The 20,016-nt window shown below is 37.0% G+C and overlaps 1 protein-coding gene across 41 annotated transcripts in view, besides 1 other annotated feature; it reads left to right on the top strand.

The window, feature by feature from the left end:
* Nucleotides 1–20,016, top strand: part of ROBO2 (roundabout guidance receptor 2) — a 1,743,290-nt gene that overhangs the window by 1,239,443 nt on the left and 483,831 nt on the right. The window lies entirely within an intron of this gene.
* Nucleotides 18,818–19,546: an enhancer, noted in NCBI's record as "NANOG-H3K27ac hESC enhancer chr3:77214086-77214814 (GRCh37/hg19 assembly coordinates)". NCBI's record gives its function as "activates a minimal SCP1, AML or CMV promoter by ChIP-STARR-seq in primed H9 embryonic stem cells {active_cell/tissue: H9 hESC(primed)}" and the evidence as "EXISTENCE:reporter gene assay evidence [ECO:0000049][PMID:30033119]".

A 20,016-nucleotide genomic window follows, 5' to 3' on the forward strand; every position in this document is an offset into this window, starting at 1 on the left:
CCCTGCCTATTGTCTGGGCTTGTCGTCTTCTGTCAGTAGTGTGCCACAATCAGCGAGATACACATGTACCTCCTGCCTGCTCAGGGTTTGGCCGCCCCCTGCTCCCAGCACCTGTTTGCTTATACATGAGCTTTGCATGTTTGAATTTAAATAGACACAGGAGGGTGGAGAGAGGGAGGAAGGGCGATGCCTCTGTCAGCCGTGGGTCATTACTACAGAGGAGACAAACCCAGCGAGCAGGGAAACTGGGAAGCCTGGTAACGTGGTAGTGGGTGATGAAAGATGAGTATTCTCCATGGAAATCATTTTTTTCCCCTTTTAAAGTTGAATGGGGTGGGTGATTATTAAGACAAGATTAATAATCATTTTGATTATCATATCTATCAATAGATGATTTCTTCAATTACATAGAGAATTATAAATCAGATGATGAATTGTGACCTGGGTCTTTTCCAAAGTTACCTTTCCTTGATCTCTTCCAATGATGTCATTGCAAAAAATTGTCTAATTTATCAAAAAAACAACATGAAATTCAGGTATGCGTACAGGTGTAAAAAGGCCAAGATTTGGCCAGGCATGGTGGCTCACGCTTGTAATCCCAGCACTTTGGGAGGCCGAGGAGGGCAGATCACTGAGATGAGGAGTTCAAGACCAGCCTGGCCAAAATGGTGAAGCCCCATCTCTACTAAAAGCATAAAAAATTAGCCGGGTGTGGTGGCACGCGCCTGCAGTCCCAGCTACTCAGAGATTGAGGCACAAGAATCACTTGAACCCAGGAGGCGGAGGTTGCGGTGAGCCAAAATTACGCCACTGCACTCCAACCTGGGTGACAGAGCGAGACTCTGTCTCAAAAAACAAAAAACAAAACAAAACAAGAAAAATGGCCAAGATTTAGTAAATATGTACACTGGGGACTCATATCTGGGATATATGCAATATGCACCTGTTTATGGTAGAAATTTTTTTACCTAAGAAGAAACAATACTATCATCTTTCTATTTCAACTTGTTTACTAAATTATAATTTTCTTAGGTTTAGCAAATGCTCATTTAGTAATTGTGTCATCCTGCATCTGGGCTTCTAGGCTTTGAATTAGAAAATCTGAGACTGCTTGCTGCCTTTGGTATTTATTAGTTCCATGACCTTCGGTGAGTTCTTTAATCTGCCTGAAGCTCAGTATCTTCATCCACAAAAAGGGAGCACTGGTGCCCACTTGAGGGGGCCCTAAAGGGTGGAAATTTAATGACATGATAATTGTGAGTGCTCTTTTCAAACTGTAATGTGTTATATAAACATCAGATATTGTTACTATTAAGACTGATGTCATATAAGATTAACCATGGTCTCCAAAAGATACAATACTCATAGTTTCATTACTAAATAAACTTTTAAAGTAAAACCAAAATACTTTCAAAAATAAATTGTATTAATTATTACCACCATAATACTGAAAGTTTTATGGAAATATTTCCTCTCTAAAGCACACCGTTGTATGTTAGAATGTTTTCCTGGTGTACTCTTTTACTATGTGTAATTTAAAAAGTAATTCTAGACTATCAAGATAGAATTTTATTATAATATTACTGCTTAATATGACACTTTCTTCTAATTTTATTGTGCCAAGAATTTGTGCAAAAGTTACACAGGCAGATAGTTACCTTCTTTTTTCCTTTGGGTTTTCAATACGTACTCTAACAAAGGAAAGATGAAAGAAATCAGGGAGAAGATCTGGCATTTAGAAACACACACTCCCTCCCACACACACATCCACTCCGAAAAGTTATAAAGGATCTGTTGAATTTGGGGGATACCTTGAAGAACTTCAAGCTGTCACCATTTCACTACCCCATGCGGTTTGAGCAAATGAGCAGCCTTGAACTTTGCACACAGAGACGCGAGGCCTGGGCAGAAGGCAGTGCATCTGCAGGTCCTTGCATGACTAATTTCCTGTCAGCAAGTGATTTTATTATCATTTAAATAAGAATGGATAATAATAGCTGTAAACTTGGCAGATGGCTGAATTGGTAAATTTTAAAGGAGGTAGGTTTGAAATACTTCTGTGCTTCCTCCTTCAATGCCTTCACCCACTCCTTAAGCCCCGTGGCAATCAACTATTTTGGTTACCACTTTTGATTTAACCACTGTGTTCATTCCTATCGATTAAAGGGGCTTTAATAGCACAATATTGTGATGGCTGTTTAAGCAGAGGACATACTGTGTTTCATTGCTTCTTATTTACACTGGGCAAGGGGGAAGCCCAGTTATTGGTAGGTACTTCCCTCTTCTAATCATTTCTGCATGAAACTTTTTTTCTTTCTCTCTTCACTCAACGCTTAAGAGGAAAGGAAAACTACTTGAACTTCTTAGTTCGTATTTCTCATATAAAGTTAAAACAATGTATAAAAAGAACTATTGTGTATTCAGTTCTCATGTTCCCATTCCTTAATCAACACAGGCTTATCAATACAGCAATAAATGAGGACAGTCTGAAGCACAGGAGAGATCACTAATATTGCAGCCAATTTTCTTTCCTAAAAAGTACAGGCGCAAAAATAATTCATATCAGATGAGGTCTTACAAATATTAAACACCATTATGTCAAGCAAATACCGCTAAATATGAAACAAAATATTGACTCTATTACATAATATAGTTATGGTTAACAAAATAAATCTAATAGGGAATTTTAAACTACCAATTTAGCTTAATTAAAAGGTACAATTTCCTCAATCCTGATTAAATAACAGTAAAAGCATAGATTGAATCCACTCCCTCTGAGATTTTTAAAAGAATGTTTGAGAAAGCTTGATGTTGGAGTTATAATTACACAACAGTAATCTGCTTATTCCTTTGACTTAAGGTATTAAGATCGCTACTAACCAAAGTTCATTAATTGAAAGCTTGGAGACAAAGTAAATTTTTTTTTTTTTTTTTTTTTGAGACAGTCTCGCACTGTCACCCAGGCTGGAGTGCGGTGGCATGATCTCAGCTCACTGCAACCTCTGCCCCCTGGGTTCAAGCGATTCTCCTGCCTAGCCTCCTGAGTAGCTGGGACAACAGGTGCACGCCACCACGCCTGGCTAATTTTTTGTATTTTTTAGTAGAGACGGGGTTTCACCATGTTGGCCAGGCTGGTCTTAAACTCCTGACCTCGTGATTTGCTTGCCTCGGGCTCCTAAAGTGCTGGGATTACAGGCATGAGCCACTGCACCCGGCCCAAAGTAAATTTTAATGGTATCTCGCAAACATATGTGTGAAGATAGTAGTATTTAATGTATACTAGCCATGTTAGCTTGGGGAATTAGTATTTATGCATGCCCTTACTAAGCTTTCTTAGCAGGTGTCTTCATGCTTAGAAAAGTCAACTTGCAACCCGTGTGTAAGACAAAACATTTGTCACGAGTTCAGTACTTGTCAAGTGGGATGTACATTCTCAGAGGTCAATAGTGGCTTATAGGAGATTTAGATGTGTCTGTTGGCATTAATCAGCTACACACATCACTCTCATCCAACTCACAGCTTGAACTTCCTTACCTACCAATATCTGTGTTGGCTGCCTGAAAAGCAAACTGTTGAGCAACAGATTTAAGAATAGATGATTGACTTGGTTCCATTCAATCTTGTCCCAGATGTGATCTCTATTAAATATTTTGGTGATTAGGCCTTATTCCTATTTTGCTTTTTTTTTTTCTGCTTTTGTGATTCCATTGTCCATTAGTGTTGTGGTTCTCATTTCCTTTCTCTCTAAATTCTGCATATTTATTTGTTAATGTACTGTATTTAGTGTACTGTTTAGGCGGGATTACAAATAACTTGTGAAATAACAGGAAAATTGATGAAAAAAGAAAGAGCAAAAGACAATGCTTCCTCAGGAAAATGTCACATTGGATGATTATTTTATTTGTTCCTGATTTTTTCCTTTTCTGCAGATACATGATTATATAATTGTTTCAGTTATATGAAACAAAAATTAGATGTGGAGGAAAACTCTAAATAGGGAACTCTAATGTTCTTTTAAAATGAAGAATTTAACGAAAACACTCAAAACTCCCCTGCTGGGCTCAAGCAGGTTGAAATTAATTCAAGACGGCAGATAAAATTTTTAACCAGGCCGAGTGGAGATGACGGATGTGACAGCTCTCAGTTAAAATGTCTTTTAGTGGCGAATGCATGCATATTAGTCAAGGGATGTGACATAGCTGTCCCGGGTGAGAGAAAATGAACCAATGACCATTTGCATTGAGAACAAAAGAAAAATTCTTTATAGCAAAACGTAAAGAAAGACAAGTAACTTGAGGTTTCATATTTATTTGTTCGTGTTTGACAATATTTTTGGTAATCTTTTTACTGCAAGAAAACCTCTGAAAGTTAGCACAAACATATGTTTTTAAGCAGTGATTCTTTTCTTTCTCCTCCATATATCAGAAAATAAATGTTGAGTAAAATGTCTGTGCCCAGGAAAGTCAGGTAAACTATTTTTTTTTCCCTTGCAAAGAACAACAGAAAAGTATCTGTAGATGGTCATACTTCAAAAGTTGTAGAAAAAAAGCCTTACCAACTGAAAACTCAGTTTCAAATTTGCCTACATGAATAAAATATTGGAATGAGAAGCCTTTTTTTTTTTATTATAAGAACACTGGCTCCCTACTTTTCTTCTTTCTAATAATAAGACAATTTGGTTGTGTATTATAAAGCAAAGCAAATAAAACAAAAATGGATGTGATTCTATGACAGAATGTTATAGGGAAGGAAAATTATTTGGAAACTACAATTGGCAGGATTTGACCATGTGAAAGTCAAGTTTAATTAACTTTAGGAACAGATGCTTTCAAGACATAGCAGTTACCAGTTAGAGCTACAAGTATAATTGAGTTTTATAGTATAGGGTTTATTTTTCCAATTAAAATCAAATTGCATTATCATAATTTTGTTATTAGAAGATGTAACACTCTGGCTTAAAAGGGGTACTCAAATGTAGACCTAGATCTTGTCCTCTTTTGATCAAAAGAAAAGAATGGACAAAGATGTATTTTAGTCTCAACATTAAATACAATTTCCACTTTAGAAGGTAGTTGTTACTTCCTTTAATAATGTATCCTCCCCAAAATGGTATATGAGAACATAAAAATTTATTACAACATTAGAGCCAAAAATAGAATACAAATATTTGTATACAAATATTCAGTGATGCTAACTGGATTCAGAAAATGCTACCGAATTAAAATTATAATTTATCTGGGTCTTCAGTGATAAATAGGAATCCCTTACTTAAGGGAGATGAAGTTTATTTAAGGCGAGGTAAATGGAGAAGTAAGTTTTTCTCCTGTATTTTTGGCCTTTTCTTGTCTCTCTTTTCTGGAATTATCAAGCTTTCTCTCATTCAGATGAATGCTTTGTGAATCTTCTCTTTTTGAATCTGCAGTGTAATTCTATGTGGACAGACAGCTTTCTGTTAACATACACTATTTTGACAGACTACAACTTGATTTGCTGTTCAGGCTTTGACTATATTCACATTATGGCTTAAGTATTTTCTTTCATAGTCATTTACCAAGTGCCCAACACATTTTTAAATCAGAGAAAAATACATTTTATTTACTTTCCATGCCGAGCTCAGCAAGAAATGGTATTTTCTCCTATGTCTTGCATTAAAAATTGCATTTGCAAATGGCATATTTAGATGATGTTGAAGAAATTAAGCAATATCAGTTGTACCTTTTCATAGTGTAAACATGTAAAATTTCTTTAAATAGGAAAATACTATTGGTTTTCTTGGAATCGCTCCCATTTAAATTCTATCCTTTAGATTTTTTTCAGTCCAATGCCTTTGCAAATTTCTAGTACACACTTTCTACTACTGTAACTTTAGTACATCCTCAGTTTTACTACATTACTTGAAAACATGCATTTTTAACAATCTCCTGCTCTTTTGCTTTTGATTTTCTGGGCATATTCCTGTTACTCAATGTATTCATTCAGCAGAGTACATTTATGCTACAACTATGGACTACCTGTTCACAGCTGTAGATTATTCAGAATCTTCTTGATACTGATAATATCTTCTTATTTACAGTTTGCTGGTATACTGAGAAAATGCAGTAGAATAACGGAAGTACAATGTAAGCCATATAAATCATTTAAAATTTACTAGGTTCCATAGTAAAGAGGAAAACAAAACAGCTAAAATTAATTTAATACTATATTTAGCCTAATATCCCAAATTTTATATCAATAGGCAATCAGTAAAACATATTAATGAAATATGTTCATTCTTTTTTATTATACTGAATCTTTGAAACCCAGTGCATACTTAATACTTGCAGCACATTTAATTCTAACTAGCCAGATTTTGGTGATCAACAGCCACCGCTGACTGTGGCCACCATACTGGATAGTGCCACTCTAAGACCTTGATACTCAAAGTGCCCCATGAACAGAGAGCATCCACATCACCTGTGAGTATGTTCGTTGTATCAAATCTCAGGCCTTATGCCAGGCCTACTGGATCCAAATCTTCCTTTCAACAAGATCCCGAAGTTACTGGATGCACATTAAAGAAAGAAAATCACTGCATTTCTGGTTTCCCAAATGTATAGAACATTGGTGTTAATATTACTGCCTATGACATAGATTCTTTTCCAAACAGCTTTATTGAGATAAAATTCATATTCCTTATAACTCACCCTTTTAACATGCAAAGCTCAATTTTTTTAGTGTATTCACAATTGTGCAACTATTTCAGTTATCTAACTTGATAATATTTTTCTTACCCCAGAAGAAACACTTCTACCCATGAGCAATCACTCAGCACTTCCTTCTTTGCCCAGTGACTGACAACCACTGATCTACTCTATCTATGGAATTGCCAATTCTGGACATTTTATATAAATGGAATTATTTAAGGTGTGGTCTTTCAGTCTGTCTCGTTTCACTTAGTATAAGTACATTGATCTGTAGTCTTTATTTCTTTTGATGCCTTTGTCTAGTTTTATTAAAGGAGTTTAAAAATGCTTCTTCTTCCAGTTTTTGGAAGAGTTTGTGAAGAATTTGTGTTAAATCTCCTTTAAACGTTTGGTAGACTTTTCCAGTGGTGCTGCCTGGGCCAGAGATTTTCTTGCAGGACGTTGTTTTGGTTATGAATTCAATATCGTTACTGGTTATATGTCTATTCAGATTTTTTTATTTTTTCTTGTTTCATATTTGATGGATTGTATCTTTCTTAGAATATGTTCCATGAATGAAATATGGTCATTAAGTGAATTGAAAAAGGCAAACACTTTTCCTTTACCATTTTCCCATGTATTTTGCAGTCAAGATCATTCTTTGTAATTACCATTGTGACAGTACTACAACCAAAATGAGCCTTTAGAAGTGTGTAATTTCTGAAATTAAATTTATCTTTATGAATTTTCGACCAATGCTGAATAGAGAAAGATATTTTATTTTGCCACAGTTGACTTCCTAGTTCCTGATCACATGCAATAATGAGAGGAAGCCAGACTGGAAAAAGATGTCTCCTTACTAAAATAATGGAAGAAGTAGCCCCCATTCCTTCCTTCGAAATAACAACAACAATTCTACCAACACGCAAAAGGTCAGAGCCACATTTTCATGGTATAAATGACATCTAGGTTAAATCCTTATATTCTGTCTTGGATGAAACTTGATATGATTCAATCCAACCCTCCATCTAATAATGATTCTTTGACATTTCTATTTTATAATCGGGTTATAGCCCTTTAATTTTCTTGAATGTTTACTATAACAAGACAATCACCTCTCATAAACCAATCTACTCTATTATTAGATAAGTCTAAAATTTAGGAGAATCTTTCTTATTTTAAGTAGAAAACTGTCTCCTTTCTATACACATTTAGTTCTGGCTCTGCCAATATGAGCAGGATGGAACAAGCTTACTTCATCTGCTACTTCACAGCCCTTCAGATATCAGAAAAAGCAGTTTCTTCTTAATAGACTGCTAACAGAATTATAATGGGATCAAACTGAAAAAAAAACTTGTGAGAACATAATCTACACTAATAATAATCCCCTAATGCACTTCCACTTGAAAAAATACACATAGTTTAATGTATCTTCTATCAATTTCTAAACATGGGTTTTTCTTTCTTAGTACGAAACTGTTAAAAAGCAATCAATAATAAATAGGTACAGAGGAAAAAAACAGGCAGTGAGGTATGTTTAGCTAAATATGTCCTCAAAGTGTTGATTTTAAAATGGCTTGTTTTTAGACGCTGGTGAGGCTGTGAAGAAAAGGGAACATTTATACATCCTTGGTGGGGATGTAAATTAGTTCACCACTATGGAAAGTAGTTTGGTGGTTTTGGAGGTTTTTCAAATAGCTTAAAACAGAATGACCATTCAAACCAACAATCCCATTTCTGGGTATATATCCAAAAGAAAACAAATCGTCCAACCAAAAGGCGCATGCACTGGCAAGTTCATCACAACAGTATTCACAATAGCAAAGACATGGAATCAACCAAGGTGACCATCGGCGGTGGACTGTATAAAGAAAATGTGGTGCATGTATGCCATGAAATCCTATGAGCCATAAATAAAGAAAATCATATCTTCTGCAGCAACATGGATGCAGCTAGAGGCTTATCTTAAGTGGATCATGGCAGGAACAGAAAACCAAATACTCCATGTTCTGGTTTATAAGTGAGAGCTAAACACTGGGTACTCAGGTACATAAAGATGGCGACAACTGAAACTGGGGACTTATAGATGGGGGAGAGAAAGAGTCAGGGAAGGGTTGAAAAGCTACCTATTGGGTACTAGACTCAGTACCTGAGTGATGGGATTATTTGTACTCCAAACCTAAGCATTACACAGTGTACTCAGTTAACAAACCTGCACGTATACTCCCTGAAACTAAAAGTTCAAAAATAAATATTCATTTTTAAATTTGGGAAAATAAATAAATAAATAAATAAATAAATAAAATGGATTGTTTTTGAGGCAATGAAATTACTGGACGTATGGTCAGTGCTCAGTAAACTTTAGATGACTGTGGTATATAGGAAGGCAGGATAATGGTCCTCAATGATGTCTGAGTCCTAATCCCTGAATATATCTGTGCATATATCAGATTCATAGCAAGGGGGAATTAAATTAGCAGATGGAATTAAAGTTGCTCATCATCTGACTTTAACATAGGGAGATTATCTTGAATCATCCAAGTGGGCTCAGTGAAATCAGAGAGTCCCTAAAATTGAAAGAGTGGAGGGGGATAAGGGATCAGAGTCATCTGATATGAGAAGGACTTCACTTGCTCTAGCTGGTTTCAAAGATAGAAGAAAGTGCCTGCCAACCAGGAAATAAAAGTAACCTTTAGAACCTGGAAAAGGCGAGGGAACAGATAGTCCCACAGAACCTCCAGAAACCCCGTAAACAACATGATCTTAGCCCAGTAAGACTCATGCAGACTTCTACAGGTTTCTATGATAAATGTGTTGTTTAAGCTGGTAAATTGTAGCAATTTGTTACAACAGCAACAGAAAACGAATACACATGATAGTTATTTAACAGAAAACTAACACAGCTACTCTGTTCTGGATTCAGGTCTAATTACTAAAACAGTTCTTTTGAAAGTCACCAGTTATCTCCATGTTATTAAACTCTGCACATTTTCAGTCTTCGTTTGACCCCTCAAAAGCACTTCATGTCGTTAACTATTCCCCCTTTCCTCTTTAAAGTACTTGTTATCTTTGCCTTCCATGGTCTTTCACTTCCTTGCTTTCTTTTTACCTTCTTGACCTCTTTCGTGGTCCCTTTTACAGCTCAGTCCACCTCAGTTAAACATTTTAGAGCCTTCTCCTCTTCTTGCTCAGGAGCTCTCATCTGTGGTCATTGCTTTTATTGCCACTCTTTCTAGAGAGCATGCAAATTTTCATCTTCCTCTGGGCCTCTCTTCTGAGTTGTACCCACATAACCCATTGCCTACCTGAATTGTTTTTTCTTTGTCTTAAAATTTCTTCATCTCAACATCATCCAAACCGAACTTATAACTTTCCTGTCCACTGGGCACCATTCTCCTTCTCCTTTCAAATCCAAGGCACCTTCAGTATTGCTATAAATTTTGTGTCTTTCTGTACTGGTTGAGAAGGGTTGAGATTGGGTAGAAAATGCATGGCAAATGTTGTCAGGTTTGATTTTACTTTAGATCGTGTTAAACAATGTAAGATTGTTTATTTATGCATATGAATCATTTTGTATTTTTCATAATTAAATTGATGTCAATCCCAATTTTATTGAATCCCAAGTATCAGCTGGCTCAGCAGTCACTAAGAACTGTTGTGAATGTGCTATTGTACCTATGACACTGGAAAACCATTATGAGTTAAACCAATTGTCATACATATTAGTTATTTGAAATTCAGTGGGAGGAACATTTTCCTGTGTATTGCAAGTTGCTGTGAGAAATGATCAGTTTTCTTTCAAGGATTTCAGTTGTGTATGTGAAATAAATTCTTAACATTTTTAAGCTCCTGTAATATTGCAGGCATTTTACTTTAGTAAAATAGTAAATAAAATATACTTCATTTAATTTTAACAAATTTCTGCTGGTGATTAGTACTTTTTAATATATTTATTAGAATATTAATTAGAATATATAAAAATATTTATTAGAATATATAAAAATATTCATTAGAATATTCATTAGAATGTATAAAAAATAGAATTAAGCTAGTTAATTATTAAAAAGGCAAGAATTTGAATAGAGTTCTTCTGTTTCTAATGCTTATATTATTTTTATCTATATCGGTTGTTCCCAAAGTTTGGTCCCCACAACAGCAACATCAATATCACTCGGGAACTTGGTAGAAATACAAATTCTTGGACAACCACCCCAAATGTACTTAATCAGAAACTCTGGGATGGAGCCCAGTAATTGGTATTGACCAAACAGGTGATGTCAATGATGAGTCTGCACATTAAATAGGCCCTACAGATGAGTTTGATACACACTAAATGTAGAAAACCATATTGTTATACCACTGATTATATGTCTATAGAGGTGATGCGCCCCTATCTTTCTTATTATTCTCCTTTGACTCACTGATTTTTGCTGCTAAAGCAGAACCAGGAAATAATTCAATGTTTTATTCCAACTTACTAAGAGATCCCATACTTAACAATGAGTATTCCTAAGTATATTAAGGTTAGCATATAATTGAAAGGTTAAAATATCTAAAATTCAATTGAATGTTTTCACTGTAAACTATATTCAGCTTCATTGTCTTCTGCTGAAAGTCTTATTTTACTTCATTATGGCAGCTTAATGATTCTCCAATTCCCATGTTGAATTTCCAAGGAAAGAAACTTATAAAAAGTTTATGCTCGGGGAATTCTTTTGCTTTCTGTGTGGGAGTGGAGCAGTTCTTTACACATCTTCCTTACCTCCATTGAAAAAGACAAGGTAACTGAAGGCTGTTGGAGTCCATGGGGTGAGGACTTGTTAGCAATTAGTAATATGTGAAGAAACTGTCTGTTCCCTATTTTTTGGTATGCTGACCATAAATTGATTTGAGTATTCTTGCTTTACTTTATTGTAGGTTGAAGGGAGCTATTGCTTATGAGGAAATTCATTGTGTTCTAAAGCCAATTCTAAATCAGAGTTTGAGACACTGTTTCTATATTAGAGATTATCTATATTTTATTCTGGAGGGCAAAAATTGCCACTTAGATATTACATGTCAGTGCATATATATTTCTAAATTTCTCAGGGGAGTTGTGGGAGATAAACAATAATAGTACACAGTGAAAGTCCTTGAATACGGCCCTGATTGTCCCTTCTTTTAGCCTAGATGTTCATATTTCAGTTGTTTGATTTAATGAATAGAAAGGGAAACATAATAATTACAACTCAAAATTCTCATATGAAATGAATCTAATCTCATTCAAGTTGTCTAGTCCCTAAACACAGTCAGTAAAAGGATACTTTAGAGCTGTTCTCTTGCAGGCTGAGCCGAGGAGTGAAAATGGTTAACTGAAAACTTTGAAGGATATTTAAGTTGACCATGTGCAGTGCATGTATTGGACACCAGCCAGGACCCAGTAAACCCCCTGTGCCAACATTGGGTAGAACTCATTGATAACCAAAAGCAGTTAGTAGAACCTGTCTCAGTGAGTACGTTGGTCAATACAGGCTTCATGGGAATGGCCCCTGTTATTAATGTTTGAAGACTATGACTTGCCCTTACATGGCTGTGATTTAGAGAACTACCCACTGAAGTCACTGATGTAGTTCAGTGTGTGAAAAACAGACGGCAAACCATATGAGGTAAGTTAATACATGTAACTGGGGATACTGCAGGAAGGAGACAGTTGAATTCTTTGGAGAAAAAGTGGTTTACAAATTGAATACATTAAAAATGAATATTATTACTGGTTTACTCATCACATAAAGAATAGGGCCAGGGGATAAATACCTCTCTAGCTCTTGCAACTCAAGAGATGTTTTTCATATCTTAGATAATAAATACTTGCAGTAGGTTTAGCTCATAACTAAAAGTATGTGCTAAGAGACTCCCCTAGAAGAGTTTGTCTTCCGACATGCTGAATTGCCCTGGGGTTGGTGGCAGCTTAATAAAATATGTGAGTGTTCAGTGCGGAGCTGTTAAGTTATTTATTCCACTTCTGATACTGCATGCATGAACTGCCACTGTTTGATGAATCACTGAAGAGAATGGGAACTGACAAACAACTCTTCCTTTAGCGGCTGATCACACTGACAGCATCAATAGAAAAACACATCATGGGTTCTAAAATGCCACATTTTCACCGTTTACCCTGAATAAGACATGAAGCTCTTTAAGGAAAGCAGTAGTACGTTATCATTAAGGGCCAGCTGACAGAGAGGCAAGTGTGCTTTGAACTCTCTCAAGTCATCATTCTTAATTTCTTCTCTTCTTAGATGGAAGGCCCACCCACATGGGTTCTGAGCAAGGCAGGGACTGTTGCACCTTTTAAAATCTCATTGATAGATTGGTTTCATCAACACCCATCCTGACTCCTGCCCATCGGGAGAAGCTCCTATTCTCATTAGGGTCCTGTAATGTCTGCAGCTAACATTGTTCTCATGCAAATAGAATGACACAGAAGATCAGTGCCATGAAAATTCAATTTCCCCCAACCATCATTACCCTTTTTCTTTTAGTTATTCCCACTCCAATCTGCAGGAGGTAATGTGTGCAATCTGCTGGTACTGTGCAAGATGATTACTACATTTTAGTGATGAATTTCCCAGCTATTGCACTAGGGGGTGTTTTAGCAGGTTCCCTGATACACCTAATGTAGATGTGGCAGTAGTCCTTGCAGTCCTTACCCAGCTCTTCCATAGTGGATTTCCACAAGGAGTGGATGCCTGGTCAGTAGAACTTGTATTCAATACTGTTCATTCTTTAGTCATCAGTGGCACTTGTGAAAGTAGTGATTTGTTTAATGTTGTCTGAAAAATAAAAATAAAATATATCTCTACCTGTCCAAATTGAAGGATTAAAAGCTCTGTCAAAAGAAATGTAGTAATTTTTGTCTTTAGTCTATGATCAAACTTGGGTAATTTAATAAGGATGTAAAATTCAGGGTAGCTCATATAAACATATTGAAATTATAAAAGTGTGTAAGTTAAATAAAAATCCTGTTTTAGAAAGAACTATGGAGAAGTCCTACTTGTGTGCAGCTGAAAAGTAAGGTAATTACCAAAGTATATTTCAAATTCCTATACTTAATATTATCCTTTATCTTTGAAGTTTCTTCAGCAATGGGATTAAATATGTAAACATTATATTGTCAGTGGTTTATTACGTTTTAGAAGTTCTTTGTTTCTTCTGAAATTATCCCCTTGCCTCTTCATTAGTCTGGAAGTTAGCTGTAAGAAAAAATAAAGGGAGAGAGAATGAAGAAAAAATATATAGATTCACCAGGCATTACAGATTTGTATGTATGCCCCTGTTCACCACAAACACAAAACATGATTATAGTTTCTCTGGCGATTATTAGCCTAATAATAATTGTAAAGGGCAACTATACAAAACACGATTTTCAATGTAATTTTTATAAAACTTATTTATTTCACAAATAAATAGATATAATCTTTCCCAGTGAATAAAATACTTTACATATGGTAGCATTTTACGTACAAAGGTGACTAAAAGAATTCAGAGTTTTAAACATTTATTTGAAAGAAAGAATGATAATTATTTTATAAAGTTTTTTTGGAAAATACTTTTTTCTTACACATGGTGATGATGTATTTGTAGATAAATTGTATTTATGCAATTCCATTCACATGATTTTGAGATATTTTCATTGGATTGATTACTGGCTGAATTAGACATTTTTAAATTACTGAAATGTACCCTCTTAATAATATATCCTTATAATTATGTCAGAGAGGCTGATATAATGAAAAAAGGAGTCAAGTTATTTCTTTACCTGAATTATTCTGTTCTATAAACTGATATATGTAATACATTTCAGTAACTGTGGCGAAACCATTTAGACTGTCTATGGGACACACCATGCAGTTTAGATGTGAGCAGTTGCCTACATGTGGTACAGAAAGTCATATTTGAACTACAGTTTTAGTACCGCTACTTTAAGATAGATTCTGAGCATGTAATTACTGCAGTCTTGGCATGTAATTACCCCGGAGTTACAGTTTATATTGACCTCCAGAAATAATGAGACTGTAATTTTAAAGTAAAACATAGAACTTGAGTGTAAAATTGTATGTTGATTTTGAACTGCTTGCATTGTGAGTTTGTTCTCCTGAAGAATAACTTATTACTATGATAATTATCCCAGTTTCCTATGGATTCAGAATATGTAGAGTGTTATTAAAGCATCCTTTATGACTGAGTGGTTAACTGGTTCCACAGATAGGTAAAAGAAGGAGTACTCCAGTGGTTTGAAAGAAGCTGCTGATTACAAAAGCTCCCTCCCTGTAAGCTTCATGGCCTGCACTTCTCAGAAAGATAGACTCAATGGAGCATGACTGCCTAGGGCATCTGGGTCCCAGGAGGTTTTAGTTGTTTGTTTAGGTGTTGAGAAAAACACATTATGACCGTAATAATAATTATGTGTTTGGAATTGGATTTTTGCATCTGTAACACAAAGTTCCATCTTGCATAAAATGCAACCTCAGCACCATTTTATGCTTAATTTGCATATGAAGCAATATGGGACTATTCAAATATAGGCTTCATTTGACTACGTACCACCAGTGTTAATTTAGTATAGTATTAAATGTCTCTGATGACCACTCTTCAAGCAATGTTTGGACTCTTTATTAAGGACAAATGTGTGTACACACTCTTAGATGATATTAAAACTAAGGTTAAAAGATTTTAAATTATTTTCAGTAGTGTGTCACTTTTAAATACTTTTGCATAACCTGAAGAGAGTAAAGTAGTTGAACATTATTTAGATAGTGATTTCATAGCAATTGGTTTTTTATTTTCTGAAATATAGCCCAGAGATATTTTATTTTTTGCTTATTATAAGAAATCACATTTCAAAATACACAATTCAGTTTGAAAATCAGTAAGTTAGCTTTATTTATTCCCAGGTGTTTTCTGAAAATACGTTTTTTTTTTCTTAGCCTTTCTTAAGGCAAGAAGCAGTCATTCAATTTCCCTTATTCTTTTCTCTCTCCTTCATCTTTCTCCTTTCTTACCCCTTTTTCTGTTGTCATGGTTTTTTACTAAAGCATGTAGTTCTTCTTCTGTACAGAAACATTCCATGTAATCCTCAAATTAATAACTTCATCCAAATTATCTACAAAGTCATGGTTTGACAGTAATGTACCCACAATATTTCTCTAGTGCAAATTCAGCCGTACCAGTAATGTGTTAAAAAGTCATCTTTTTCTAAAGAAGCTATAGATATAATTCATCTCTTCTTGAATTCAATTTGTAAAAATTTGAGAGTTAACTTATCATATTTTAACTTGGAACATTTGCAAACCTTCTTATGTCATAGCTTCTCAGTATTAAAAAAAAAATAGGGCATATGGCAGAAAACCATACTCTGTAAAACACGACAGCTCAGGAGAAAAAAATAAAACAGCTTAAGAACAAATATTATGTCCATACACTAATAACAACATGGTGTATATTTGTACTGTATTTTTTATTTTCACCATTTAATTTGAAATTATTGGATGGTTTAAATATATAATTCTGAATGGTGGATAGATATTAAAATAATATTTAGCTTCATAAGTATTGACCTTACACATTTAGATGTCCTCCAGACAAAGAATGAACATGAAGGTATCGTGCTAGGAAAAGAATTACCGTTGTCTTCTGTGTTTCATTAAAATAGCTTTCAGGCAGATAAACAACTGTTTCCGTACGTAAGATCCAAGAAATACCATTTTATGGATGCCAAGTTCAGCGTCTTAGTGAGTTCTGGAAACTTACATAATGGAAACAGTACACACCTGCCTCTGTGTCACTCTCTCCCTGATTAAAAGTGATATGGCTAAGGACATGAAGAACCATCTCCCTCTTTTATGAATCAAATAACGTATGCTTTATAAATGTTATGTATTTATTCTTTCCTCTAATAAGGCTACACATGGGTTTAAAGCATTGAGGCCTGCGTTAGGGAGATCAGCACTAGAGGTCAGAGACATTCAGAATCCTGCAGTTTAGCATTTAGCAATGTTACTTTCTTTTTTCTTTTCTTTTTTTTCTTTTGAGATGGAGTCTTGCTCTGTCTCCCAGGCTGGAGTTTAGTGGCACAATTTTGGCTTACTGCAACCTTGGCCTCCTGGGTTCAAGCAATTGTCCTGACTCAGCCTCCCAAGTAGCTGGGATCACAAGCATGCGCCACCATGCCCAGCTAATTTTTTTTTTTGTATTTTTAGTAAAGACAGGGTTTCACCACGTTGGCCAGGCTGGTCTCGAACTCCTGACCTCAGGTGATCCGCCTGCCTCTTCCTCCCAGAGTGCTGGGATTACAGGTGTGAGCCACCGTACCTGGCCAAGGGTATTACTTTTGAGTTTTCAATAAAGGCAGTGTTACAGATTTTGCTTCATTTGAATTCTATGCAATGTTTTTGTAGTTCCTGATATCAAAGATGTCTATCAGCTTTTAAAATGTATATAGTTAAAGGATTCCTCTTGCCATCTAAACATGCATCAAGAATAAAGAATCTATACATAGATTTTACAAAAGTTATTTTATGTTACATAAATCATTCAGAAATTTCTATTCATTCATGTAAGGCAGAGGCATAGCTGATTCTGATGGTAGTCCTGCTAATCATTCAACTGCTAACTTACAGAGAGTCCAATAACCCAATGTCATATGTTGTGTTGTTGTGTTGTAAACCATTCATTTCACAATGCTGTGTATTTTTAAACTCTTTAATCACAGAGGTCAACTATAATTGCTGGCATCAATTTAGAGTCCTCCTGCTCTTTTCTTTCATAATGTTCCATTGTCGCATGCTACAGTATTTATAATAATTTGAAATTATAACTGTATGTTCATGTGTTTGATGTCTGTTTTCTCAACCTGACTGACAATTCTATTTGTTTTGTTCACCAACTTACACCTAATATTTGGACATGGTCTGGGACACATACTAAGAGCTCAAGAAAAGTGCACTGAATACTCATGGTTTATAATCTTTGAACTGAATATCTTACTGTTACTTTTTTTAAAAAAAAATCTATATTTCAAACTTATTTCTAGCATAGTCAAAAATGGTTTCTCTCAAAGGATGGATGTATAGCTAGGCAGACATACATACAGATAAAATTGATATATTCATATACACATAGAGTTCTGTTCTTAAGTTGTAATTATGTTTGAATCAACTACATATTTCATCAACTTCCCACTGCATAGAAACAGTCTGATTAGAGGATCCATTCTAATACAGAAACATACATAGATGTGTAGAGATGCTACATGAATGTTGATACTCTGGTTGTGATATTGTGCTATAGGTTTGCAAGATGTAACCATTGGTGGAAACTAGGTAAAGGGTGCAATTTATCTTTGTATTGTTTCTTGTAGCTGGGTACGAATCTACAATTATCTCAAAATAAAAAATAAAAAAGTGGTATGTGGCATTTGTGTAAAAATTGAACCAGACGTAGAAAATGAGGTGTAAAACAACTCTTTTTATTATTACTTTAGCATTAGTGACATTCCATATTTATCATTTGCACATTTAAATAGTAGGGCCAGGCTGGTATAAAGCCTTTTTACCGTCCGGGAGGGAGGTGGGGGGTCAGCCCCCCGCCCGGCCAGCCGCCCCGTCCGGGAGGGAGGTGGGGGGGTCAGCCCCCCGCCTGGCCAGCAGTGCTGTCCGGGAGGGAGGTGGGGGGGTCAGCCCCCCGCCCGGCCAGCCGTGCTGTCCGGGAGGGAGGTGGGGGGGTCAGACCCCCGCCCGGCCAGCCGCCCCGTCCGGGAGGTGAGGGGCGCCTCTGCCCGGCTGCCCCTACTGGGAAGTGAGGAGCCCCTCTGCCCGGCCAGCCGCCCCGTCCGGGAGGGAGGTGGGGGGGTCAGCCCCCCGCCTGGCCAGCCGTGCTGTCCGGGAGGGAGGTGGGGGTGTCAGCCCTCCGCCCGGCCAGCCACCCCGTCCGGGAGGGAAGTGGGGGGGTCAGACCCCCGCCCGGCCAGCCGCCCCGTCCGGGAGGTGAGGGGCGCCTCTGCCCGGCTGCCCCTACTGGGAAGTGAGGAGCCCCTCAGCCCGGCCAGCCACCCCGTCCGGGAGGGAGGTGGGGGGGTCAGCCCCCCGCCCGGCCAGCCGCCCCGTCCGGGAGGGAGGTGGGGGCGGTCAGCCCCCCAACCCGGCCAGCCGCCCCGTCCGGGAGGTGAGGGGCGCCTCTGCCCGGCGGCCCTTACTGGGAGGTGAGGAGCCCCTCTGCCCGGCCACCACCCCGTCTGGGAGGTGTGCCCAACGGCTCATTGAGAACGGGCCAGGATGACAATGGCGGTTTTGTGGAATGGAAAGGGGGGAAAGGCGGGGAAAAGATTGAGAAATCGGATGGTTGCCGTGTCTGTGTGGAAAGAAGTAGACATGGGAGACTTTTCATTTTGTTCTGCACTAAGAAAAATTCTTCTGCCTTGGGATCCTGTTGATCTGTGACCTTACCCCCAACCCTGTGCTCTCTGAAACATGTGCTGTGTCCACTCAGGGTTAAATGGATTAAGGGTGGTGCAAGATGTGCTTTGTTAAACAGATGCTTGAAAGCAGCATGCTCGTTAAGAGTCATCACCAATCCCTAATCTCAAGTAATCAGGGACACAAACACTGCGGAAGGCCGCAGGGTCCTCTGCCTAGGAAAACCAGAGACCTTTGTTCACTTGTTTATCTGCTGACCTTCCCTCCACTATTGTCCCATGACCCTGCCAAATCCCCCTCTGTGAGAAACACCCAAGAATTATCAATAAAAAAATAAATTAAAAAAAAAATCAGTGATAATTTGTTGATATATTCATTAGTTGTCCACATTCCCTAACTCCTATATTTTTGTAAACTTTTAATTGAAGTATAACATATATACAGAAAAGTAACAAGAAGGCTTAAGTATCCAGCTTGATGAATTTTTGCAAACTGAACACATCTGTATCACCAGCACCTGGATTGTGAAATAGACCATGAAAAGCACCACAGAAGCCCTCTCATGCCGTATCTCAATCTTTACCAAGAGAACCTATCTTCTGACTCCATAGAGCTGTCTTCTTTTATCCCCAACTTTTCTATTTTTAAAAATTTCAGTATATAGAAATTTCAAAGAGTAAAGAGTAGCAAGCATTACCCATCACCTAGATGCAATATTTGTTACTATTTTGCTGAAGTCTATCTCTCTCTGTATGTACAACACGTACCATTTGAGTGTGTTATTTGCAGATGGTGATACTTTACCCATAAGTACTCCAGCATGTATCTCCAGCCGGATCAACATGGCAAAACCCACTCTCTACTAAGAATACAAAAATTAGCCAGATGTGGTGGCATGTGCC

This window comes from Homo sapiens, chromosome 3, assembly GCF_000001405.40.
Source record: "Homo sapiens chromosome 3, GRCh38.p14 Primary Assembly".
NCBI lineage: Eukaryota > Metazoa > Chordata > Mammalia > Primates > Hominidae > Homo > Homo sapiens.